This window comes from Homo sapiens, chromosome 10, assembly GCF_000001405.40.
Source record: "Homo sapiens chromosome 10, GRCh38.p14 Primary Assembly".
NCBI lineage: Eukaryota > Metazoa > Chordata > Mammalia > Primates > Hominidae > Homo > Homo sapiens.
This window is the reverse complement of record NC_000010.11, coordinates 16,761,247-16,788,576: the sequence shown is the minus strand read 5'-3', so window position 1 is coordinate 16,788,576 and position 27,330 is coordinate 16,761,247. Positions and strand designations below refer to the sequence as shown.

The 27,330-nt window shown below is 42.6% G+C and overlaps 1 protein-coding gene across 3 annotated transcripts in view, besides 4 other annotated features; it reads left to right on the top strand.

Annotated features, from left to right (window-relative positions):
* Positions 1-27,330, top strand: part of RSU1 (Ras suppressor protein 1) — a 226,814-nt gene that overhangs the window by 28,848 nt on the left and 170,636 nt on the right. For all 3 annotated transcript variants that reach the window (NM_152724.3, NM_012425.4, XM_047425617.1), the window contains 2 exons: positions 6,493-6,543; positions 24,067-24,187. In NM_152724.3, coding sequence (NP_689937.2) covers position 6,543; positions 24,067-24,187 — 122 coding nt within the window. In that variant the 5' untranslated portion in view covers positions 6,493-6,542. The remainder of the gene's footprint in view (positions 1-6,492; positions 6,544-24,066; positions 24,188-27,330) is intronic.
* Positions 641-1,141: an enhancer, noted in NCBI's record as "H3K4me1 hESC enhancer chr10:16829435-16829935 (GRCh37/hg19 assembly coordinates)". NCBI's record gives its function as "activates a minimal SCP1, AML or CMV promoter by ChIP-STARR-seq in primed H9 embryonic stem cells {active_cell/tissue: H9 hESC(primed)}" and the evidence as "EXISTENCE:reporter gene assay evidence [ECO:0000049][PMID:30033119]".
* Positions 672-821: an enhancer, noted in NCBI's record as "active region_3101". NCBI's record gives its function as "activates an Ori minimal core promoter by ATAC-STARR-seq in GM12878 lymphoblastoid cells {active_cell/tissue: GM12878}" and the evidence as "EXISTENCE:reporter gene assay evidence [ECO:0000049][PMID:35858748]".
* Positions 932-1,001: a silencer, noted in NCBI's record as "silent region_2180". NCBI's record gives its function as "represses an Ori minimal core promoter by ATAC-STARR-seq in GM12878 lymphoblastoid cells {active_cell/tissue: GM12878}" and the evidence as "EXISTENCE:reporter gene assay evidence [ECO:0000049][PMID:35858748]".
* Positions 8,778-8,827: a silencer, noted in NCBI's record as "silent region_2179". NCBI's record gives its function as "represses an Ori minimal core promoter by ATAC-STARR-seq in GM12878 lymphoblastoid cells {active_cell/tissue: GM12878}" and the evidence as "EXISTENCE:reporter gene assay evidence [ECO:0000049][PMID:35858748]".

Sequence of the window (27,330 nt, the reverse complement as noted above, 5' to 3'; positions counted from 1 at the left end):
CCTGGAAAATGCAAGATCAAGGTACTGACGGATGCATTGTGTCCGGTGAGGGCTGTCTTACTGATTTGTGGAAGGCCACCTTCTTGTATCCTCACCCAGTGGAGAAAGAGATCGTGTCTCACATGTCTCCTCTTATGAAGGCACTTAACCTCATTCATGAGGGCTCCACCCTCATGACCTAATCACCTCCCAAAGGCCCCGCCTCCCAATACCATACACTGGGGATTCGGGCTTCCGTATATGAATTTTTTGGGGAAAACGTTCAAATGTGTAGTCCCTAGCAAGGTGGGAGCCATGCATAGGGGATGGCTTGGTAACGGGAAACCAGGGGCCTCTGGACTGCCTATGAGAGAAACTCCTGTTTTGTGTAACTCCTGTTGAGTGTGGTTTGCTCTTACATGAAGCTGAGCATAGTCTTAACTGATACATCTATGAATCTATTTAATAATCTTGTTTGTTATCAGGGATTTCTGGGGAGATTTTTTTCATGTCAGACTATACATCTCAGGGATAGAGCAATGCTTTGTCTGGTGGACAGAAAAATCTGAACTCAAAGAAATAAAAATGTGTGAGATTTCTGCAGCGTATAAAATCTTAACCATGATGTGGGAAACCACTATCAGGATTCTGTTTAAAAGCCACAAAAATGCTTTTCTTCTTCCCCTTAGCCTCTTTCTGTGCCATTCTGTAACAATTCAGTCCTAAAGCCATTAACTGGGTGTATTAGTTTGTTTTCACACTGCTAATAAAGACATACCAAGACTGTGTAATTTATAAAGAGAGAGGTTTAATGGACTCACATTTCCACATGGCTGGAGAGGCCTCACAGTGATGGCAGGAGATGAAGGAAGAGCAAAGGGACATCTTACATGGGGGCAGGTAAGAGAGCGTGTGCAGGGGAACTCCCATTTATATAACCATCACATCCTGTGAGACTTATTTACTGTCACACGAACAGTATGGGGAAACCACTCCCCATGATTCAGTTATCTCCATCTGGCCCCGCCCTTGACATGTGGGGATTATTAAAATTCAAGGTGAGATTTGGGCGAGGACGCAGCCTAACCATATCAGTGGGACAGGAAAACAGAGGCGTTCAGGGGTGGCCTGCGGGGGAGCATTGGCGCCTTGGTGAAGGGAGCAGCCGTGCGGGTTGGGCAAGTCGGGGCCCAGGCAGAGTGAGGAGGGCGTCCTGGTGGAGGTGGCCTGGCATGGAGTTTAGTATCAGGGCAGAGTGAGGAGGAAGGGGTGATGGGGAGATTGGTTGCTCTACATAGTGGAACACGTGTTGGATAATTGAAAGGGCTCGCAAGATTCCACAGCACCTGCTCACGTGAAGACTTAATAAAAGCACAGGAGGTGGTTCAGCTGTAGGAAGAAAGCACAAGCCAGCATCAGTGACCCAAGAGACTCACTGTTGTGGCTCCAAAGGGCACATTTTGTCTCCAGATTATGAACCATCAACACGTGTCCAAGGAATCTTGGTGTCAGGAGAGCCTGGGCAGAAACATCAAGCACTGTCTTCTGTGCTTGGCCAGTCACCAAGCCAACCCAGGCCCTGTGTCCAGGTGTAAGGCATCGATCCGATCCGCACCTCCCTGAATGTTCAAGCAAGCTGGCTCTGGGGACCACCAGGGGCGTTTTTAACTTTAAGCTGGCCCACTCCTCCTTATCTTGATTAAGAATCAGTACCAAACTTCCAGGTGTCCTTGCAGATGAGCACAGAGCTGTCCCGGTTTCACTGTAAGATAACCATTTTATGTAGCTCTATATAGGGGCATTTATTAAATAAGTAAACGGTTTAAAGGCCAACGAAGCGGAGTTCTCGTCGTTAGAGGAGAGAATTACAAATACGGGAAGGGAGAAAACTAGAATGAGCCCTGAGATGTATTGGAATTGGGTAGATTGGGGTGAACGTAGGGTGTTTAAAAATAGAAGTAGACAGTGAAATCAGTACAGGTGTTAGGAGTGTGTTATTCCCTAGCTCTGACCACTGAGAGGGGCCGAGGGTACCTGACTCCCCCCCACCCCAAAGTAATGAGCACATCTAGTGCCTGAATTTTGGCTTATAAATATTATTTCCCACAAAAAGGAACCAGAGATCATGGGATAAATGGCTGATTCCAGGACTGTGGCAGAAAAAATACAAGATGAACCTGAATATCTTGTGTCAGAAGGCAAGAAAGTGCTGCAAGAATGAGGGCGTGTGTCGAAAGGACTAATAAGCCAGCTTGGATGGACTCATACTGGCCAAATCAGGGGCAATTTAACCATCACTGTAAATAATAATGATAGATTATAACCCGTCAGCTAAAATAGCAAGCTGCAAAGCCATGCAAGTATAACTAAATAAACCATGATCTCCCAGCACCAATGCTCTTGACCTTTTGGAGTGGACGATTCTTTGTCATGGGTTCGGCTGCCTTGCGTGATGTAGGATGTGTGTCAGCATCCCTGGCTTCCACCCACTACACCAGTGCTTTACACTAGTGCCATCCAGCAGACAGAGAATGCCAGTCACCAACGAAATTTTAGATTTTCTAGTGGCCACAGTTGTTACAATCCAAAATGTCTCCAGACATTGTCAGATATCCCAATTGTGGGGGGTGGGGAAGTTGCCTTGATCGGGGACCAAAAGACACAATAAGTTTAGAGTTTGGTGAGGAACAGGATATTGACATTGTGTCAAAGTACCCGTCCTCCTTTTCCCAAATTTACTAATTACAAGAGGGGAAAACAAGACATTGACAATGGAGAGGCCAGGCAGACTTACGCGATCAAAGTGAAGATCCTTATCAATGGGATAAATGGAAGTCGTGTGTCCTAGGTAGGGTGCCATGACAAGAGCACAGTGTTTCTGCGATATCCCTGCCAAAGATGCTGATATGGTTTGGATCCGTGTCCCCACCAAACGTCATGTGGAATTGTAATCCCCAGTGTTGGAGGTGGGGCCTGGTGGGAGGTGACTGGATCACGGGGGCAAAGTTCTCATAAATGGGTTAGCACCATCCCTCCTGTATTAGGGTTCTCTAGAGGGAAAGAACTAATATTATATATATATATATGTATATATGTGTATATATATATGTATATATGTATATATGTGTATATATATATGTATATATGTATATATGTGTATATATATATATGTATATATGTATATATATATAGAAAGATAGAGAGAGAGTGAATGAGTTTATTAAGTAGTATTAACTCACACTACCACAAGGTCCTGCAATAGGCCATCTGCAAGCTGAGGAGCAATGAAAGCCAGTCCAAGTTCCAAAGGTGAAGAACTTGGAGTCCAACATTCGAGGGCAGCGAGCATCCAGCACAGGAGAAAGATGTAGGCTGGGAGACTAAGCCAGTTTAGCCTTTTTCTACCTGCTTTATATCCTGGCCATGCTGGCAGCTGATTAGATGGTGCCCACCCAAAATTAAGGGTGGGTCTGCCTTTCCCAGCCCACTGACTCAAATGTTAATCTCCTTTGGCAACACCCTCACAGGAACACCTAGGATCAATACTTAGCATCTTTCAATCCAATCAAGTTGACACTCAGTATTAACCATCACACCACCTTTGTACTGTATAGTGATAGAGTTCTCATGAGATCTAGTTGTTTAAGAGTGTGTGGTACCTCCTCCCAAAGCCCCACTTCCTCCTGCCCTGGCCATGTGATATGGTTTGGCTGTGTCCCCATCCAAATCTCATCTTGAATTATAGCTCCCATAATTCCTACATGTCGTGGGACGGACCTGGTAGGTAACTGTATCATGGGGGTGGGGCTTTCCCATGCTGTTCTTGTTATAGTGAATAAGTCTCACGAGATCGAATGGTTTTATGAAGGGGAGTTCCCCTGCATACGCTCTCTTACTTGCTGCCATGTAAGATGTGCCTTTGCTTCCTCTTTGCCTTCTGCCATGATTGTGAGGCTTCCCAGCCATATGGAACTGTGAGTCCATTAAACCTCTTTCCTTTATAAATTATGCAGTCTCAGTTTCGGGTATGTCTTTACTAGCAGCGTGAGAACAGGCTAATACCCCATGTGAAGATGCCTGCTCCAGCTTTGCCTTCCACCATAAGTTCCCTGAGGTCTCCCCAGAATCAGATGCTTCTGTGCTTCCTGTACAGCCTGCAGAACCATAAGCCATATAAACTTCTTTTCTTATAAATTACTCAGTCTCAGGTGTTTCTTTATAGCAATGCCAGAATGGACTAATACCGATGAATGAATCAAGAATCAACAAATGACAAATCTCCAGCCTGGGCAACAGAATGAGAACCCATTTCTAAAAACAAAACAAAATAAAACAAAAAAACATTTAAATCAAGCAAGAATGGTGCTGTGAGCCTGTGGTCTCAGTTGCTTGGGAGTCTGAGGTGGGGGGATTGCTTGAGCCTGGGATGCTGAGGCTGCAATGAGCTGTAATTGCACTACTGCACCCCAGCCTGGGCAACAGAGCAAGGTCATGTTAAAAAAAAAAAAAATTGTACATAGAGGGACATAATACAAAACAATTGCCCCTGCAATCTTCACAATTGCCAAGGTCACGAAAGTCAAGGAAAGAGAAATTCTCAGCTTAGAGGAGACGACAAAGACCTGACAGCTACCTGCAGCGTGAATTCTCAACCAGATCCTATTTCTTCCCTAAAATAAATGATTGGGACATTTGGAGAAACTTGAATGGGGGCTAGGATTAGATGGTCCTCATGTACTGGGTTAACTGTTTTAATGGTTGTATTGTGGTTATGTCCATTTTTGCTTGTAGGAGATATACCATAGACTTTATGGGGCATCAGGCCAGCAGCTTAATCTCAGTGGTTCAAGCTGGGAAAACAGGTTTTTGTATTGCATTTTGAACTTCTCTATAAGTTTGCAATGGTTTGAAAAAACAAAAAACAAAACAAAAAAAAAAACATGCGGCCGGACTCGGTGGCCCACGCCTGTAATCCTAGCACTTTGGGAGGCCAAGGTGGGAGGATCATGAAGTCAAGAGATGGATACCATCCTGGCTAACATGGTGAAACCCCATCTGTACTAAAAATACACAAATTAGCTGGGCGTGGTGGCACGCACCTGTAGTCCTAGCTACTGTGGAGGCTGAGGCAGGAGAATCGCTTGAACTTGGGAGGCGGAAATTGCAGTGAGCTGAGATTGCGTGGCTGTATTCCAAACTGGTGACAGAGTGAGACTCAGTCTCAAAAAAAAAAGCAAAAGTTGTGGTCAGTAGAAGTGATGCATATTTTCTTCAAAGCGTGCTGAGCCCCAACATCGAGACCCTTCCTGAGAAAAATTTTTATCTTATCCGTTTAAGGAAAAACCTCTACTGCATTAACAGAATGTTCTTAAAGAAATAATATTGGAGGCTGGACACAGTGGCTGATGCCTGTAATCCCAGCACTTTGGGAGGCTAAGGTGGGAGAATTACTTGAGCCCAGGAGTTTGAGACCACCCTGGGCAAAATAACGAGAACCACATCTCTACAAAAAATACAAAATTAGCCGGGCATGGTGGCATGCACCTGTGATCTCAGCTACACGGGAGGCTGAGGCAGGAGAATCATTTGAACCTGGGAGGCGGAGGTTACAGTGAGCTGACATTGTGCCACTGTACTCCAACCTGGGCAACAGATTGAGACCCTGTCTCAAAAAAAAAAAAAAATAGGAAAAATTTACACATACACACACACACGTGTATATGCATATGTGTGTAAATGCTGACACATACAGTAAAGTTTTAGACCCCAGAGTAGAGGGGAGATCATTTCTCTCTTTTACTTTTGTGGCTCTGTATATATTTTCTTTATTTATAGTTAGAAAAACCATTCTTTAAGCAAACCTAATCTTACTGAGCAGATTAAACCACCATGATAATGTTTGAAGCCAGAGAGCAATCTGCATTTCAAATCAGTGCTTTGAAATGTCAACCAAAATATGTTTAGAAGAAATTGTGAAGGGTTTCAACTCTGATCATCTGATACCATGGAGGAGAATTTCTGGATGGGCACGGAACATAGCTGAAGCAATAACACTGGCGGCCTTCTGCTAGATAAAGTTTCTGTTTGGATGAAGTGGCTTCAAAAATAATAATAATTAAAATTTTTTAGCACAAGGTAAGGCCCCTGTGCACCTCTGCCCCCTTGGCTGGTCTTTCTGACTGGCACAGATAATTGAAATGGATCACTAATGGCTGGGCAAGCAGGTCGGGGCGCCACGCAGAGCTAACTGGCCCTCGTCATGTTGGATTCTGTGACATTAATCTGATTAGCTCTAACTTGCTGAGCTAATTGCACCGTTAGTTGCATGCCTTTTCTTCCTTTGGTTTAACATTGAATAGATCGTGTTACATGAATCCTAGCTTCTATTTTGGTGAGCGATAGTGCTTCAACCTGTGAAAATAACTTTGCCGTTTGCTTTGTAGGAGTACAGGTAGAATCCGGATACAGTGATACATTTACTGACTGACCTTTTTTTTTTTCTTTTCTTTTTAGTTACCTTATCCCATATCACACAACTGGTCCTCAGCCATAACAAGCTAACAAGTAAGTGATGTTTCTCATTTGTTACAGTTTCTGACATTTAGGTAATCCTATGGCACTGCTGAGTCTGTTACTGTTTCCTTGGGAGAAACTAATGAAGAATGATTATTTGCAGAAACCTTAGTTTACTTTGGTGACACTAAGATGAGAATATTGTCATCCTGTATTTTGTCCTTTTGTAGTTAGCTCTACTTTGAAGATTCTTTTCTTTTTTTTGAGACAAGGTCTTGCCGTGTTACCCAGGTTGGTCTTGAACTCCTGGGCTCAAGCGATCGTCCTGCCTTGGCCTCCCAAAGGGCTGGGATTACAGGCATGAACCGTGGCGCCTGGCCTGAAGATTCTTTCTTATCATGTTTATAAACCAAAGAGAAAAAAAATGACATTGTTGCTCTGGAAGTGGTTCCATTCAGAGATAGTAAATGCTATGCTGACCTGAATTGCCAGACCATTGGTGAGCATTTCATGAGCAAAACTTACTTGAAAGCATTGAAAACTTGAAATTGTTAGAACAAGTTCTTTGTTTTCATTTATATTTCCTCCTCGAAAGGGAAAGTTTTAACTGTTTAATACACTTTCTGTCCCTGCTTGATGGAGGAAAAGATGCAAAATTGTATACATGATATACCTTTACATCTGCATTTTTCAAATTTTTGAGTCTGGCTTCCCCAAAAGAAAAATTCTGCTGGGTATCCATAGAGCCCCACAGTAGACGTATCTGCTTAGCATAGATGAATGCCTATTTTTATATGACTATCTTGTGTGCATGATGGGCCGTTTTCTTCGTAGAGCTGTGGCTTTAAAGATTTTAATGACAGGGACCCACGCTCCTTTCCCATTCCTAATGACTCAGTTCTTTTTGCTTGCCATTTTTCTTGCAGACTTGAATGATTTTCTAATCATGTGGCAAGAATTTGTGAAGGAGCTTTCCGAGTCCAGTGAAATTGAGCAGAATGTCATGTTGAGGGATTTGTGTCATGAATTTATGTGTGTATGTGCATTATATACAGCTTGAAGCGATGTCACAGAGCTGTTGATTATTGAGAATTAAGAGTGGCAGCAGGGTCCCCTCATGTGCAAGAAACAAGTGGATTAGTCGTTGTTAGCCAAAGCGTATATTTGTAAGGCAAAGGCAGAGTGACGGCACAGTTGTCACACTTAAGTAGTGGTGGCCACAGAAGCCAAAAGTGAGACCTACAAGTCATGTGTGGTCATTGTTGTAACAGGTAATTTATTGCCGGTTCCATTGTTTTTCTGGGAAATGGTCCCGTGGTCCACAGAGACCAGATTCTCAGTTCAGAAGGGATTCATGGTCTGTTTTGAAGCGTGGACCACGTGATTCCTAAATCCCCCAAGATTTGTGAGCAGTAATAACTGACATGTTCTGTTGTGTAGTTTAGTAAAGTATTTCTTAATTGCTAAGCTTACCATTGTTACAACAATGATACCTTGTTTTGCTTATCTTGTGCAAACCAGTTTACACAAGAAAGCAAAACTGGCCAGGATCAGTGACCGATGCCTGTAATCCCAGCACTTAGGAAGGCTGAGGTAGGAGGATTGCTTGAGCCTAGGAGTTTGAGACCAGCCAAGGCAGCATACTGAGGCCCCCATCTCTACCAAAAATCAAAAAATTAACCGGACATAGTGGGTCCAGCACCTGTGGTCCCAGCTACTGAAGAGGCTGAGCCCAGTAGGTCGAGGTTGCAGTGAGCCATGATGACGACCCTGCTCTGCAGCCTGGACGACAGAGGTAGACCCTGTCTCCAACAGGAAGAAAGCAAAACCTTTATTTCTATTATATCATTCATTGATCTCTTCTTTAAAAACATCTTTCAGATCACTGTAGTTTATTTCTTTTTACATCTTCACAAAGATAGAAATCTCAGGAGTCAATGGATCAGTTTCTTCCTCCAGGCATTATAATATTAGGTTAATTTAGAGGAGCATATTTATATGTGGAGTTACATTGTGTTGGCCATTCAGGAGACTGACTGTGAAAGAATCCAAACTTTATATTTCTGCCTTGCCAGTTTTTTTTTCCTTTTCTTCACTCCATTTGAGACACTCTTGACCTAATCCAGTAAACTCTAATTAATAGTCTTGGTAAATTCTGTTTCAAGCCATCCTGAGTAGCGTCACTGACACCCGATCTGTTTCAGTAAGGTCAAATTAGCATCCTTTACTATTTTTCTGGCATTTAAATGAATGACTTTGCTATGGTTTTTCAAGTGTTTATAGTAAATATGTCCATTTGATGGAAATATAAATATGCATTAAGTGTAAGTGGCTAGGCACACCCTGCTGTCACTTTTTATGGTAATCAGTGTCTTTCACTTTCTGTTGTTTTTAATAGGGACCAGCTGACAACGCCACATTAAAACCACAGGGACTCAAAAGATAACTCCCCCACCCCCTCACCCGGCACTGCTTTTATCTTGCAAAAGTATTCATGTTTTTCTCTTAGTATGCCAATTACACCGTTCTCTGACATTTCCACTTATGTACTCATGGAAGGAATGAATGGTTTACTCAAACTGGGACATTGATTTGGGGACACTGTTGACTCCACTGACTTAAGATCTACAGGGTTATTGAAACAGTGTGGCACGTGGTTGACTTGCCTTTTCTTGCCAGTGGTTTTGGCCTTGACATGTCTACCCAGGGCAGTAAAAGTGAGGCGACAAGGAAGCTGAAAGTGGGATCTGTGATTCTGAAATTCCTCAAGAATCTGGGAGCAGAAATTCCTGAACTTTTAAATACTGCAGTTCATAAAAATATTAATGTATTGTCAAGCTAATTGCTGTTAATGCTCCAAGACTATTATGGTGCCCCTATTTGAATTTAAACCTGGGAGCTTGGGGCAGCGTTGATGGGTTTTTGAAGTCAGCGGGGGACTTAATCTGTCTGTAGCAACTTTCCTAGATATGTATATATGCATGATGTGTTTAAGGAGACGGGAAGAATAGTTGCAAGTGAATTTTTTTCTTCTGCCTTTTTGCTATGAATGGGCAGGTACTAACTTTGAATGCAACAAAGTCATTGGCAAAGTCAGAATGCAAAGCCATCCTGGCCCAATGGGAAGAGTTTCAGATTGAAGATCCTTTCGGAAATAATGCTTTCTTTGAGCACCTGCCTGTGATGCAGTACGCACCTGGCAGAAGGCTGGCTTACTCTCATGCACTCACTGCCCCTCTCTGCCTTTCAGAAACTGCCCTAATCTGCCCCACATCCCATGCCAGCCTCTCCTCTCCATTTGCTGCTCTAGGAAGATGGATCATCTTCTGTCCCCCCGTAGCCCTGCCTCTGGGCCCAGGATCTACTCTTGCCTGCCTCTCCTCCTCCCTCCTCCTCTCTACCAGCCTCTCCCCATCCTCCCCTGGGGGCCCCCTGGCTGGTCTGGCCCATCTGAAGCCTTTCCTCCCCAAACTCTCTTGCATGTAGACTCTTTAACTCTAGCATGGCATTCCCTGTCCTTCTCTTCCTTTGTGTTTTTTTTCTCTCTCCAAATAGATGGTCAGCTTTTGTGGAAGCATGGATCATTTCATATTCTTCCTGAATGCCTGTGACTGGGCCCTTAGTGGCTTCGCAGTAATTACCTGTATAAACCGAGTGTTCATTGCTCCCAGGAGGTATGTGAATGACAGGGAAGGGCAGAGAGGAAACTGCTGGCTGGAGAGAAAGTGGGGAACATTGGGATCAGATGGTTTCTTTGGGATTAACTGGTATAGGGACTTGAGTAGATGTGGCTGCCACAGACTTCTGTTTCTTACTCGTTGTGTGCTCATTTCAAACATGGTAGAGCGTGATGCTCTAAAGATACATGACCTTCAGCCTGGGCAACATAGCAAGACCCCATCTCTTAAAAAAAACATGAGCCAGGCATCTCAGCTACTGTGGAGGCTGTAGTGTGAGGATCACTTCAACCCAGGAGTTTGAGGCTGCAGTGAGCTGTGATTGTACTACTGCACTCCAGCCTGGGTGACAGGGCAAGACCCTATCTCAAAAAAAAAAAAAAAAAAAAGGTATATGACCTTATGTCCAATAAATGATGGCCATCTCATCTTTACAATCATAGAGCCAAGGAATGATGGGCTGTGATGTGTTACTCAGGCACACAAAGGACTCGCAGCCAGGGAAACTGTTTTCATGACCGCTCAGATGCGTGGGAAGGCAGCAATAATGCCGAAGGTCATCTTCCTGTGTTTCTTTGCTTTTCCTTCCTGCCCCTGGCCTCTGTGGTTACCCTCCCTTTCAAGCCACTGTCAGCTGAGTCTTTTTTAGTCTGCTCCTTAATCCAATCCCTAGGTTTTATGGTGTTTTGGAAGTGTGAGCTTTGTAAATGCTTTCCTACTTGTTTTTTGTTTTTAAAAAGGAGTTTCTTTTGGGGACAACCATTTTAAGACTTGTCCACTAGAGGTCACTGTTGAGACACATATGTCTCCTCCAGGTTTTGTACCTAAAGATTAGAAACCACCTTTGTTGTGAGAATAAATTTTGTGCAGGCTCTCCGGCCCTGCACCACAGGGCATGTTGCTATTGCTGCTTACACAGTGCAGTTTTTACCACATTTAAGGTAAATCCTTATAGAAGGAGGTATGCTGTGTTTTTTGTTCTCCTACCATGAAAATATTCAGTTTCACGTATCATTTTTTAGTGTTTATTATGGCTACTTTCTCAAATTAGAAACATTTCTCTTCCTCCAATATCCTTACGTTGAAAGAATTATACTGCTTTCCATAGTATTTTGTATTGGGCATATTTGAGTTTTTTTTTTTAATCTGTGGAAGAAAGTTTGAAGTATTTATGTAACCAGATTTTAATTCAAAAATAACTGTAAAAATCAGGAAAATGTGTATTTTGTGCATATTTATGCTGATTCGTATACTGCTCAATTCCATTGTGTTGGGGAGAATATGAAATGAATGTACAACAGGAAATGAATTGCATTCTGTAGCAGTGATAAAACAAGCTCTGGGCATTACGTTTTTAAGTGAAGTTTTCCTTAAGTTTTAAAAAAATTTTATTCCAACAGCAAAACCCACACGTAAACATTGCAAGCTACTACTGCACTCCAGCCTGGGTGACAGGGCAAGACCCTATCTCAAAAAAAAAATTAAAAAAAAATAAAAATATGACCTTATGTCCAGTAAATGATGGCCATCTCATCTTTACAATCATAGAGCCAAGGAATGATGGGCTTAAATACGGCAGTAGTTTTTTTTTTTTTTTTTAAATTTTGTGACCCATGTGTGTTGAGGATTAGACATTCGTCATTTTGTGCAAGAAATAACCAAGGATATCTTTTTGCTCTGTGCAAACATTGAGGAGCCGACATTTATGTAAAACTTTTCAAAAGTGTGGGTCTCTGAATGTAATTGTTTAGTTTTATACTTTTAACTGCCATGTAAAACCTTTTCCTGAGGTATTGGCAGTTTTGCCTACAATTTCAGGTCTTCACTGTGACCATATCTCATCATTTAATGCATCGGAAATGGCCAGGCAGGTAGTAAACCTAAGTTTTATGGCAAAATGTGGGTTTTTTTTTTTTAATATACACTATTTCCTATTAGTTACAGCTTATGTATGAATTTAGAATTATAACAAACAAGAAATACTAAGATACCTTCTTTGGTGGTTTCAATAATTTATTTATCAAAGATAATATTCTAAGTACATAGAATTTAATACTTTTAAATTTTATGCAGATGTATACATTGATTATCTACCATAAGTCATATTATAAACAAATTAAGCAGCATATTTCACATGAAAATACTGCATTCTTAAAATTTGTAGATCCAATTATAATGAAGAAAATTTAGCAGTTTTTAAAAAGCATAATACATTGAAACCTTTTTATGCAGACATAATAGATTGCTGGGATGATTGAGAAGAATTAACTGTCTGAATTCCTGAGGACGACCTTCACCACTCTTCTCAGACCTTGCTGTTCTTAAGTCTGTAGTTATTCCCTCCTTCATAGATTATTTGTCATGCTTTATGCAAAAGTTCTTGTGCATGGCTTGTATGAAATTAAACCATGAGGGGGGAATATGTAAAATAAATGGTCTCTGTGTCATGAATTTATCTTGTGACAATATCAAAACAACTTGCTGTTCGCATTTTAACAGAGTGTAAATGTGTTTATAATACAGAGGCTTTGATCAATAACTTATTTTTTTAAATTACTGCACATTTATCAGTTTGCTTCTCTGCCATCATTAAAAGATGAGAGTTAAAAAAATATGCATAGTATCTTTGAGTCTAACAGCTATTAATTAAACAATATCTATCTGATGGTACCGGTAGTCAGGTTACCATAAAAAAGCACTGGCAGTTGGGCATGTGTTGCGATTTTTTGGCTGTAGTGAGTGAGCACCTGAGATCATGCTATGGGAGGGTCTGTTGACCCAGGAACCCAGAACCAGTGCAGCCAAGGCCAGCGAATGAAGTCGAAGACGTGTCCTGCCGGTGGCATCTAATCTGTCCTCAGCTTGTAGACTGTGGCCACCCCCCACCCCCATTCCTTTTGTTGTCAGCCCCACCAACCAAAATGTACCTGTTCTAGAATCCTTTTTCTAGAGGTCCTGTTTTGTGCTAAGCGGAAGCCAGCTAACGTGCTAATTCCTCCACAATATATTTTTAAATGGAACCACCCCAATCGTGAGAACTTCAGAACGGTGGCAGGCTGTGGAGAAAATAAGACGGGGGAGTGTAAGCCTGTCACTTTCCAACTCATAATTAGCCCATGTGCGGGGCTGATCCTGAAAAAGGTTTCTATTGCTATTGATGATAGAATGTCTATCAAACAGAATTGATTTAATAGCAAAATATTATACGTACATTTTCAGTTGATGCCCTCTCTCCTATATCACTTGATGTGTGTGTACATGTGAGTATGTGTGCAGAATGATAGAGGAGATACACTAAGAGGTGCAATACTTAGGTACATACATTCTTGTAGAGCATCTCTTCTCTTTTTTTATGTTTTTATTTTTTAGAGATAGTGTTTTTATCACCCAGGTTGGAGTACAGTGGCACAATCCTAGCTCACTGTAACCTGAAACTCCTGGGCTCAAGCAAGCCTCCTAGATAGATGTGCACCACCACGCCTGGCTAATTTGCCCAGGCTGGACTCAAACTCCTGGGCTCAAGTGGTCCTCCTGCCTTGGCCTCCAAAAGTACCAGAAATACAGGCCACTGTGAGCCCCTGTGCCCAGCCTTCTTAACTTTTCTTAAGTCACTGATCTTTTTAAATAATAGAGTGAAAACTACAACCCTGATCTGTAGAGAAGTGCACGTGATGGTTGTAATTCCAGCAGAGGCTTGTGGATCCCATTGTGTTCATCCATGAATTCTTTAGAGGTCCATGCAGCTCAGATTTAGAAACTCCAGAATCGGATGAAGATAACACTAGTATGTTTGCATGCAGTGTGGACATAGGGATGCTATTTTTTTGTTTGTTTGTTTGAGACAGGATCTCACTCTGTCACCCAGGTTGGAATGCGGTGGCGTGATTTCGGCTCACTGCAACCTCCATCTCCCGAGTTCAAGCGATTCTTCTGCCTCAGCCTCCCTAGTAGCTGGGACTACAGGTGTGCACTGCCATGCCCAGCTAGTTTTTGTTTTTAGTAGAGACGGGTTTCACCATGTTGGCCAGGCTGGTCTTGAACTCCTGGCCTCAAGCAATCTGCTTGCCTCGGCCTAGTGATGCTATTTCTTAAAGGAGATGCTCCTTGGAGATTTGTATAAAACTTTAGATGATTTTTAATGCATCACAGAACTCATTCTTGATGACTTTTTAAAAAATATTGATAAGTGCCATCTTATTAATCTGCTTAAATTTACATTTTGTTAAATAAGAATTTGCAATCCTGTAGCTCCCAGGGTTGAACAGAACGTGTGTGGGCATATGGGCATATGCAGTTTTTTTTTTTTTTAACGGAATACCTTTCCCATTTCCATTTTTCTTTCTGTTCATCAGTCAGCCTCATAGACCAAAACCACTCAGATACAATTGATAACCAGTAACAAACTCATTGACCTTGCGTTTTGCTGTTTTCAGTCTGAACCCTCTTTTGTCTAATTTTTTGCTGGTTCTTTAGCTTTTTTCCCCTGCCTATCTATTCTTTGTTCTAGTCACCTGATTTTTTTAAAAAAACTGATGTTCCTACCCCTTTCTCTGAATTTGGCTTATCCTTCAGAAAGTTGAGATGAATGCTCATCTTTCTCTGTGAAGCCCTCCTTTTCATCCAACTGAACCAGCACTGTGTGGAAAGAAATACAAGGCACCCCACAGCCTGTGGGACCATCAAGAACAACACCTATATAATAACTTCAGCAGGAAGTGAAAGAGAAAAGAGTGAATTTGTTGAACCCCCACTCTGTATTACGTGGAGGAGGCAGGTGTAAAGTGATTAAGTGACCAGAATGAGGAGGCGACAGAGCTTTCTGTACAGCTTCCAAGTGGCTGCTCCGCCGTGTCCCCTGCTGCCTCTGCAAGTGATCTGTGTGTGCACTTGACGTCCCGTTAGGTCAGTGTAGGAGCTCCATGGACGAAGCGTTCCTGTGGCTCTGGATCCTTACTCCTTCCAGTCGAAGAACGGGAGAATTCCTAAGGTTAAAAGCCATAGTTGGGTTATTTCGAAGGGAATGATCAAAGCTCCCATGTGGATTTGGTGGATTTTCCTAGCCCTGGGCCTCTTCCTTTTCCTCCCCTTCCTGCCCTCCTCATGCAGTGACCCTAAACATAAGGTCTGGTAGGAAGAGAAGCAGTCCACTTGTGGCCTCTTGATGGATTTGATGGATTAATTCCTTTTCTTTTTTTTTTTCTTTTTTTTTGAGACAGGGTCTCAAGTTGTTGCCCAGGTTGGAGTGCAGTGATGCAATCTCAGCTCACTGCAGCCTTAACCTCCAGGCTCAAGTGATCTTCCCACCTCAGCCTCCGGAGTAGCTAGGACTGCAGGCATGCACCACCATGCAAAGCTAATTTTTTTGTAGAGGTGGGGTTTCGCCCTGTTGCCCAGGCTGGTCTGAAACTCCTGGGCTCCAGCAATCCACCCACCTCGGCCTCTCAAAGTGCTGGGATTACAGGTGTGAGCCACTGCTCCCAGCCTAGATTAATTCTTAATTGTGAAAGAAGACAGAAACTAATGACAAAACGTGCTTTTTCTGTGTGCATGTAAAAGAGTGCAAGATAGAATGTGACTTGCTGACTATCTACCTTGTAATGTTAATAATCGAGGCTTATGTGTAGATATACATCCATATATATTATACATAGTAAAGGCATGTACTCATATAAAAGAGCCTAGATCAGTCCTTTTATAACACTGAGACTGCTTTTTTCCATTGATGGATTGAAGTTTTTTTTTCTTGTTTTTTTTTTTTTTTTTTTTCATATTCTACTCCTCTCTCTTTCCAGTGTTTTGGAATTTTCTAGGCATTTTTCCTACCCTTCCTTTTCTTACCCTTCGCTGGATGTCACTTCCTCCCCAGGCCACTGAATGCCATTTCCTTTCCTCTCAGTGCTGCCTCTCCCTCCCAGCTCCCCAATTAAAGCTCTTTATTGATGTATGGCTTTGCTGGAGGGGTCGCACATCAGAATTGTAGTGCAATTTAGAAGTGGTGTTCCTGCAAGATTTCAGAGTTCATACGTCCTCCTGAAGATGCTTTGGGAGTTAACACAAGATTCAGGCATTAACTAATTTTTATATCCTCAGAGGAGAAGAAATCCATACTTGTCAGCTTTTTAGGAAATTTGTTTGGTTATGCATACATACTTTTTATAGCTCAGGAACATACATTTTTGCATGTTTGGCTTTATCCTCTAAAATCGACCTTATCACTTGCTTATGCCTTTTTTCCTCTAATTTTCACGTAATTGATTTTTCACATTGCTGGTGAAAGAGTAGGGCCATTGTTTTGCGGTGAGTTAAGCCAGGGGATATTTTTGTTTACTAAAATGACTTAGGCTATAGAATCCTGAGGCAGCTCATGATAGCATAGAGTGAGCGTGTGCTTTTGGGGCACAGGTCCCCAGTAATACTTGTTGTTTATTAACCAAAAGTACATTACCATTGTTATTTATAAAGCTAATAATTGGAGGATGTTGGCCTTTCTTGGCGTAGATGCTTAGATACTTTGCTATTTTATGTTTACCTTGAGGAACATGTAGAACCTTTTAAATGAGAATTTGCTTTACTGTTTCATAAACTTTATGTTTTTAAATAACCTGGAACTACCGTAATTCACTGCTTTAATAGCTGCTTTGGGGTAAATCCCATAAAATCTGTGAAGACAGTTATCATTAGTATACTTTTGAACATCAGAGTCTTGTGGTAATATGTAATTAGTTCATTATTGTCCACCTTGTGTTTTTGGCCAGAAAACAAAGGTAATTAATCACTATAACTACAAATGACCTTTTTTTTTGGCATATAAAGTGCTGAAGAATGTAATTATTCCTACGCGAGAGTGAGAAGATTCTTCTTTATGTATAATCATTAAAATGACATTGAGAACTATGATTTGCTGAAAGAATCGGCATGTATGTAATTAGTCTAGACACCACCTCTGTGCTATGAATGGACTCATGTTCTCCAGTTATTACAGCTAGAGATTAAAAAGGCTGTGCTTTTACTTTGACCATGGATGCCCCATGTCATATTTCATCTAGTTTCTGCTAATTTGATTTTTTCCTCCCTTACTTCATTCAGGCCAAAGGGGGACACTTGTTTTTCACTATCATATTCATCAAATGCTGGGGCAAGGAAATGTTTGCTTTCACCATTTTCTCATAAATGGTCCATCCCTCCCCTCCCGTATATATAATGAAGAGCCTCACTCATTTTCACCTATTCTCATGTTTTTAGTAATTTTTCTAGTGACTTGGTTGTAGTAATGTAACATACTAAGTTATCTAAATAACAAGCTAATTTTAATATCCTCTGCCATCCTCTGTCCTTCTATGCTTTATAAAAAAAGCTGCAGAAATATATGACATTGTGAACATCTGCCCAGGCATTTTCATTTGTTATGACAACAGACAAAAACTTCCTTTTTTTTTTTTTTTTTTTTTTTAAATAGCAATATGTCAGGTTTTTAGAAGCAATACTACTCAGTTTCATTTTGCTGTGACTCATTCTATGTAGTTTCTTTGGGGACTCTTTGGCCCAAGGATTGGTGGCACTTTTGCTTCCTGGAAATGGGCACGAGACAGTAGCGTTGCCTCCATTGCAGCACAAGGGCGGACATGCCGCGATGCCACCTGCTGTCCTGGCCCTGGCTGTGAGCAGTTGCCTCCCACGAAGTACCTGCCTTAAGTCCTCCTCTTCATCCCCTTGCTGTAATTCACAATCCATCACTGGAGGCAGAGGTTGAGCTATCAGTTCACTTGTTTCAAAGAGGCTGGGTCCCCTGGCTTTCATGCCCTGGGCCAGCCCTAGCTCAGGAATCACCAGCTCTGAAAACATCCTTTGGTGCTTCTGCAAAAACAGTTGGGTGTAGTGCAGCCCCCAACTCCCCAGAAGTTTGGTGGAGATGGTGGGTGGAGGTCACCTCCAGATTTCATGCCTGTGCTGCGGAGGGAAAGCGCCATGTGTTTGGAGCAGCTTCTGGCTTCCTGGCAGCCGTGGGTGTGTGTTAGCATGGTGCAGGGTCTAGTGCTGCCCTTCTGGAGCTGAAGAGGACCTGGCTGTCGGTGGTAACCATATGGCTCTAAAGACCAAAGTGTGACCCCCTGACCCTCCCGTGGGCTGCACCCAGGCAGAGCTCCTGTCCTTATGTTTTTTGCGTGGTGCCTGCTGCTCCCAGAGTCTGTCGCTCCTTACGGCTTTGATTTTTTTTTGCCTCAAGGGCCCCAAGATGCTTTTGCTCAAAAAGCCCCCAAATCAGCTGCACCCAAGCCGATCTGTCTGTACCGTCACTACCACCCAGCATCCTGCCATTAGGGTTCAGTGTTTTGAAGCCAAGCAGTAGAGCAGGTGACATCTCTTTGTATGACTACCCTTGGTCATGATGAATTTGCCACTGAGTGACTTAATTCAGTGTGCTAGGGAATTCAAGGCTTTTCTCCTCTGGAAAGTTGTCCGTCTTAAGCAACAGTGATCTTACCATAAAATGCTGTATGGGGAAGCAGAAGTTGACTAGAAAGGGTTTGATTGTAGCATCCACGTTGAACGTGTTAAGCTACCTAGAGTATCATTTGTTTCACGTGTCATCAGTTCCCCAGGCTCAAGAGGCATCTTTATTTGGATCAGATTGATTATTATACTCATCGCATTATCGCATGGGGTAAGGGACATATGTGTTGGATTGATAATCGTGATGCTGCCAATGAATTAAAAGTTTTCTGAGCCAAAAGAGGGTTCCCAGACCAGCAACATCGGCATCCCCTGGGAAGTTGTTGGAAATTCAGAGTCTCAGGCTTTACCCTAAACCTGCTAAATCAGAAACTCCGGGATACCCCTCCATCTGTGTTTTAGCAAGCCATCTGGTGATTCTGACGTCTCTGTGGTTTGAGACCCACTGCCATCGGGTAGGGCTGTGTAATAAAACATTTTGCGGTGATGGAAACGGTCAGTATCCCTGCCATGCAGTAGTGGAGCCACTGGTCACCACATGTGGCTGTCAAGCTCTTGAAATGGGGCTGCTGTGACCAACAATAGCATTCATCATTTTATTTAATTTTGATTAATCTAGATTTAAATTCAAACAGCTGCATATAACTAGTGGCTGTCCAACAGAAAGCCCAGCCCAGAACATACCCTGCTAATTATTATTGTATAAACTCCTAAAATGCTTTGAGTTGTTGGTTGTGGAATTATTAATTTTAGATCATAGAACAGAATCTTCCTTACTCTATTCAACAGAATTGAAACTGCGATTGTTACAACAGGTGATTTTGATTCTTCCTATGGAGGGGAGACAGTTTGTGGGCTGCTGACCAGTTGGGGGAAGCCTATTCTTGAGCTGATTGATTGTTGATTTTGTGAATGTGCATCAGTGGTGCAGTACCGGCTGGCACATGCCTGTTGCAGGTATTACCGATGGCCGTAGATACATGTCCTTTTAGGAGTAAAGCTGTTGCTCAGGAAGGGGCTGTGTCAGTATTTCACGCAGATGGACTTTGGTTTCTCCAGCCTGTCCAGCAAAGTGGAGGTGCTTCTGGCCAAAGAGAAGTTAATGAACCCTTCAGGCACTTTGGGCTGCTTGTGGAACCTTCCAGAAACTGCTGGGGGAGATGGGAGTGCTGAATTGCCAAGTCTGGGCTGGCACGTCAGATGGACAAAACTCTTGAATCACATTCAGTTCTTCAGTTTAGGAGGACCTGAAGGAAAGAAGGTCATGCCGGGTGTGTTAGGCGGAACTGCTGCTGCAAAGTCCAGAAGAAACTTTGAGATTTGTCTCTGGGGTGATGTGACCACATCCTTGTCACCTTTCCAAAACAGCAGAGGCTCTGGGATGAGAGCGTCCCCAGCAGTCCTGTGATCCTGTGGCTAGAGCGAAATGGGACATTGAGGAGCCAGGGGATATCTGAGTCCTCTGGGACTGTTCCCGCAAACCTAGCAACTGAAGTCTCAAAATTAAAGCAGCCATCTTTGGCTAGGCAGAAAATGATACTCAATTCTCTGTCAGAAGCGAAGTTCTACATGACTAAGCTTCCTAATTGAGAGCCCCATTTGTTGAATTATTTAAAGCCATATCATTGATTTTCATAATCCATCTCCTTTTAGAATCCTAGAATGTTAAAATGAGGTGGAAGAGACCTTGGAAATGGTCATAATCCAGCCTTCTTATTTTACAGAGGCCCAGAGAGGTTATGAGTTGAGTGAGGGCACACACAGCACTGTAGGGTCAGGGACCACGTTGCTCTTTAGTTCCTTTGGTGTCATAGGTCAGCTGGGGTCATAGATCAGAAGCTGGACAGATTGATGAAAAAGGATCGTTTCAAAGATGTAAGAAATATACTGATGTGCACTGTTAGCTTTTAAAATGCTTCTTGCTCATGCATCCTGTAGATATCTAGAAAATTCCAGTAGAATATTTTGACTGGTAAAATATTGCAGTGGCCTTTTTGGAATACCTAAAATTGTTCCCGCCACGTATGTATAGGATTTAGTCATAGCACAATTCATATTGCTAACTGGTTATTTTTTTCAGAGAGTTTGGTTGGGAGTAGTTTATTTTCCAAGCACTAGGCCTGTTTCAGTTGATTGACTTTGATACCCTGTCTTTTGTAACTTACTTTCTTTAAATAACATGCCTCTCCTATTTTATCTCCCAGGTATTGAGATGCTGTGTGTGCAAAGTATGGCACTGTGCACCTAATCAGCATTCTCTAAATATTGGTTCAAAGAGTGAATACCATCCCATCCAGAAGGGTCTGCATGTTAATTTCTTTAGATTTTCACTATGGCTGGGGGTTAAAAAAAAATTCCGTATATTGAGGGAGACTATTAGCTGTGTATTATTTTTTTTTCCTCGTCTAGCTTGAATGGAGTCTTAAACGAAAAATTCACATGCTCACCAAAAGGCTGGGAGAGGTTTTGTAAATTGAATATGGGGTTATTGTTTGCGTTCACAAAACAAAGCCCTAAATCACATTTAGCATAATTTGTGGTTTTAAATTGGACTGATTTAGCAAGGAGAGTGAAATAATCTCTCATCCTGTCAAAAAGGCGATACCTTTAGACCAGCATTTAATTGCACTGGCAGAGTAACTTCGGGAAGACGGCAGTAATTCTGGCTGCATTATTCTTGGTTTGTGGCTAAATTGAGATCATCATTTTCTCCTGGTTTCACTAACTTTCCTTATTGCTCTTCAAACTAATCAGATGAATGTGCTCTTCAAACTAATCAGATGAAGGCTTAGTGGTAGCTGGAGGGTGGACAGGGGAGGGATGAGGTCTGTGGGCAGCTGTAATGTATATACTTTATGATCTGGGGGGAGAAGATGACATCCAGTGACCCAGAAGGCACAGCCTGGTGATTTTCTTTTCTTTTTTTTTTTTTTTGGACATAGAGTTTCACTCTTGTCACCCGGGCTGGAGTGTAATGGCTTGATCTCGGCTCACTGCAACCTCTGCTTCCCAGAAGCGATTCTCCTGCCTCAGCTTCCCGAGTAGCTGGAACTACAGGCATGCGCCACCATGCCCAGCTAATTATTTATTTATTTATTTATTTTTTGTAGAGATGGGGTTTCACCACGTCGGCCAGGCTGGTCTCAAACTCCTGACCTCAGGTGATTCACCTGCCTCAGCCTCCCAAAGTGCTGGGATCACAGGAGTGAGCTACCACACCAGGCCAATCTTTTCTCTTCTCGAGATAGAGTTGTACTCTTGTCACCTAGGCTGGAGTGTAATGGCATGATCTTGGCTTACTGCAACCTCTGCCTCCCAGGTTCAAGCGATTCTCCTGCCTCAGCTTCCCGAGTAGCTGGGATTACAGGCGTCTGCCACCATGCCCAGCTAATTTTTGTATTTTTAGTAGAGTCAGAGTTGCACCGTGTTGGTCAGGCTAGTCTTGAACTCCTGACCTCAGATAGTCCACCCACCTCGGCCTCCTAAAGTGCTGGGTTACAGGTGTGAGCCACCGCTCCCGGCCCTGGTGATTTTCTTGGTAATCCCTTACACACAGTGAATACCATTCATTTACACAGAAGTGTTCCATGGACTGTGCACCTAAGAAAGAATGTACATTTGCAGCCACACTGTACAGGTAGGGTTCATTTGCATTCCTGCAGGTATCCCAGAGGGAGGGTTCTGGAGGAACTTTGAGCTGTCTAGATTACCCGATGAAAACTTGTTCTTTTATCAACGGCCACTTCCGGAGCTCGCGCAGGGGCCGCTCACTAGACCACTGCTCCCTGCCCGTGTGCCCCAGTTCAGAGTAATCTGTATTCTTCACAGTCCCTTCTTCCAGTGAAAGCATCTCTTTTACCTTTCACCAAGCCTTACCTCTAAAAGGCCAGTGATACCTTAGACATTTCAGAAAGCTCAAAATGATGACTCAAAACTATAATAAGCAACGTGCCTGTCCCTTTACTTTTGTTCCCCTGGGAGTTATCAATTGGTCGTCTTGAAATGGCTAGCTGCTTAAATATTTTAGATGTATGTTTGGCATTTTACACACACCTTTGTGGTGGTTCTAATCACAGGTGCTCCCGGGTCTGAGTTTAGGTCTGACTGCAGGAAGCAGGTTGGTCTCCCAGCCTCCTGGGGCACCCCTGGAGGAAGCAGATGGGATGGGAAGTAAACCTGACTGATAAGAGACATCACACTTTCTCAGGCTGAGTTCCACGCCCCTGTTCATGTTCTTAGTTATCTGGATAGTCTTGGTATCAGAGTTTACGTGAACCATGGCCAAGCTTATCACCCACAGAAATGTTTGTAGAAAGACTGAATAGCAAGTGGGATAGATGAATTACAGTCTATGGAAACTCCTGCTGCTGCCAATTTACAGTTTGTGCTTTTAAGATAAAGATGCCTTTGGCTTTTACATTTGTATTTTCAAATGTATATATTCTAGGGAAGGAGGAACCTTTCAGGTCCCCAGTGGCTGATTTTCACCTTTGATCTGAATACTAGTATTCATAGCATGCTACTGAGTTGACTTTTTGTATTTCTATATAATAACAGTGTATCGATCTCTTGCTAATCTGATGTAACCTTTGTGTGTGTATATGTATGTATGTGTGTGTGTGTTACTGATCAAGTTAAATTACTCCAGAGGCCAAAATCAGAAACTAGGGAGGGTGAATATTTCATCATTTAAAATTGAGCTTATATTGTTATTAATGCAATGTTAAGAGGACAGCTTTTCAGATACTGGGTTATTTAAGCAGCTTCAATGTACATCATCCCGGAAGGGATTTGGAGATCTCCATCTTTCTTCTGGTGGCAATGCAAGAAAACCAAAAGAAAAAAAAAATTGCACCTATAAGATCATATATGACAACCATAAGTATATATGCTTCATAATACTCATTTTTATAGACTGTTTGTGGTACAGAAATTCTCTTTTGTGCATTTTTGCTCTGTTTCTCCCCCCCCATTAGCCATCTGAAACAAACTGTGCCAAGCACTTAGCTAATCATATACGAAGAAGCATTTCTTCTTCTGACGGCAATGCAAGAAAACCAAAAGGAAAAAAAAAGTTGCACTTAGAAGATCGTATATGACAACCATAAGTATATATGCTTCTTAATATTCATTTTTATAGGCTGTTTATGGTACAGAAATTCTCTGTTGTGCATTTTTGCTCTGTTTCCCCCCTCATTGTCCATCTGAAACAAACTATGCCAAGCACTTAGCTAACCATATATGAAGAAGCATTTAAGCAGCCACTCAGAAGTGAGTGACTGCTTATGAAAAACCTGTAAAAAATAAATAAGACCGGTAGGTGAATTCGATGGCCCTTTTGAAGTTATGTCTTTCTTTGCTTTGAAAGAAAAACAAAATGTGCCGCTGCCATCCCTTGCTAGGAGTTCCATTCCCAGATTCACACTCAGCATTTTTGTTTCCATAGTGGTGCCACCGAACATCGCAGAACTGAAGAATTTGGAGGTGCTCAACTTTTTTAATAACCAAATCGAGGAGCTGCCCACACAGATCAGTAGCCTTCAGAAACTCAAACACCTGAACCTTGGGTGAGTATCAGTGGAGCGGAAAGGATGGAGAGGAAGAGAGTGGAAGGGGCATGCCGGGTAAGGCCAGGGGAGGGATTCCTTTTATATTATTGCACAGAAATGGATTTCTAATTTCTTTTTATGTTTTGGGTCTTAAAAAAATTTTATTGTTTTAATATATTCTTTCAGTGGCCTACATTAGTGCATATTTGAGAGCTAATTGAGAGGCTAATTGTTGGCGCAATAAGGAAGTTAAATTTTTATTGTATTTTCTGTCCAGTAAAATTTTATCTCAGTTCTGCTGACCGAGAAGGGACTTATTTGCATAGCATGAACTGGCGGACAAGTGGTAATATGGCTGATTTCTTTTTCCTCTCTGTGTTAAATTGGAATAGTTTACAAAGCACCTTCGTGCCGTGGAGGGAAGAATATTTTCCCTAATGATGCTTCATTCATTTATGCAATTCTTCTCTTTAGCTGAGAGGTGACAGTCCTGTCTTTCTTTATGCAAAGGTGAAGAGAGGAGTTTTGATTCAGCTGAGGTTGCAGAACCAGGGAGCAGTAAATAATAATAATGATAATCTATTTTTGTGTATTGCTTTGCAGCACTTGACCCTCTCAACATTTGTGAGGTACGGAGGGCAGGTTTTAGTGCTTTCATTGTATACAGAGGAAGCCAAGCCTTTTCAAAGGGGCTAAGGGCCTGGCTCCTGGTCACCCCTGAGGTTAGCGGCCAAGCTGGGAAGATGGTTCTGGGTCTGAAGGCTCCTTCAGACCCCATTGTTATGGTCTGGGTCTGTGTCCCCAGCAAATCTCATGTGGAATTGTAATCCCCAGTGTTGGAGGTGGGGCCTGGTGGGAGGTGATTGGATCCTGGGGGCGGAGCTCTCCTGAATGGTTTAGCACTATCCCCTCTTGGTACTGTCCTTGTGATAGTGAGTGAGTTACTGTGAGACCTGGTTGTTTAAAAGTGCGTAGCACCTCCCCCCTTGTGCTGTCTTGCTCCTGCCATGTAATAAGCATACTCCTGCATTGCCTTCCACCATGAGTAAAAGCTCCCTGAGACTTCCCCACAAGCAGCTGCTGCCACGCTTCCTATACAGCCGGTAGAACCACGAGTCGGTTAAACCTCTTTTCTTGTAAGTTACCCAGCCTCAGGCATTCCTTTATAGCAATGGGAGAACAGACAAATAGATCCATAGACCCCAACCGGAACTGCGGCATCAGAATTTCATCTTCATTGGCGCAGCTATCAGATGAAACTGCCCACTCATGCTGCAGTCTCTGTGCAAAGTCATATGTTCATTAAATTTGTAGCCACTAAATGCTCTAGTTAAGTTAGTGATTGACGTGGAGTGGCAATAGATGCTGGCCAGGTATTTCCCAGGTTTTTTTGTTTTTGTTTTTTTTTTTTTGAGACAGAGTCTTGCTTTGTCACCAGGCGATCTGGGCTAGCTGCAGCCTCCGCCTCCTGGGTTCAAGCGATTCTCCTCCCTCAGCGTCCCGAGTAGCTGGGACTACAGGCGTGCGCCACCATGCCCAGCTAATATTTGTATTTTTAGTAGAGATGGGGTTTCACCATGTTGGCCAGGATGGTCTCAATCTCTTGACCTCATGTCCGTCTGCCTCCGCCTCCCAAAGTGCTGGGATTACTGCGTCTGGCCGTATTTGCCAATATAATAGGGAGCAGTCATGAAAAAAAATCTCATTCATGGAGTGATTTTTAGTTTATTGCTCCCACAAGGAATTTGGTCAGACACATTATTTTGAAGTTCACTTGGGCTTAGGGACCAACTTTATGAGATCCATGGGCAGCCTTTATTCTTATGTCTGAGGGAAAGTGAAGTTAAAAGGAGGGAGGAACATCGCTTGAGATGAGATGGTTTTTTTTTTTTTCTCCCTACAAATTTGGAGCCTGTATACCCATCTGGCAAAGCAGAAATGAAAAGATGCTCCATTTATATCTTGGTTTTACAGGCTATTCTATCCTGATCTTTAATTTGTATGTGAGAAAGAAGCTAAAACTACATATAGATGTATATTCTTACTGTTAATTTGTTCATTTATTAAATGAAATATATGTACACATTATATCTATTTTATATATATATATATAAAATCTCAATCACTAGGAACAGTGCTTGGCACATACTGAGCAGTACCTAGTATTAGTTAGCTATTGTTATCATCATAATTGTCTTATTTACGTTTTCATTGATTCCATGACTATGTAAGTGACTATTCTATGTCAGGAATCTTCCTAGTACCGGGGAGCCAAGGTGAAGGTTATGGTCCCTGACCTTACCTATTGGGGCAAGGCTGGTTATAAACAGGAACAGACCAATGAGGTCACAGATATGCTGGCGGTTGTGGACCAACAGGGGGAACAGCAAGACCGGGGAGCACTTTAGTCCACAGATGAGATCTTCAGGAGCACAAACACAGCAGGGAGCACAGGAGCCGAGACTTGATGCGTGAGAATTTCTCAGACTTACAAGTTGAAGGAAGGCATCTCAGATGGAGTGAATGGCACTCTTTTGTTTTGTTTTGTTTTTGAGACAGAGTCTCACTCTGTCGTCGAGGCTGGAGTATGGTGGCACAATCTTGGCTCACTGCAAGCTCCACCTCCTGAGTTCAGGAGATTCTCCTGCCTCAGCCTCCCAAGTAGCTGGGACTACAGGCGCCTGCCACCACGCCCAGCTAATTTTTTACATTTTTAGTAGAGATGGGATTTTGCGGTGTTAGCCAGGATGGTCTTTATCTCCTGACCTCATGATCCACCCGCCTCGGCCTCCCAAAGTGCTGGCATTACAGGTGTGAGCCACCGTGCCCGGCTGAGAATGGCATATTTAAACGCTCACAGCACTGCCTGCCTGGGGCCTGGGAATTGTCAGTTTTTTGGCACTGTTGAGTATAAAGTGTGAGGCGGGCGGCTGTCAGGTCAGAGGTCAGGCTAGACAGGGAATCCTGGATGTCTGTTGTTCAGTGAATGAGGATTTACCAAGTTCCTTACCATGTACCAGGCATTGTTCTAGCTGCTGGCCATCCAGCCCTGATGGAGCTTCCATTACAGTTGGAGAAACCAACTATAAACAAATAAATGTTTATAATAATGACAGGAAGTAAAAAGTGCTAAGAAAAGCACTCTGTGCTAAATAAAGCAG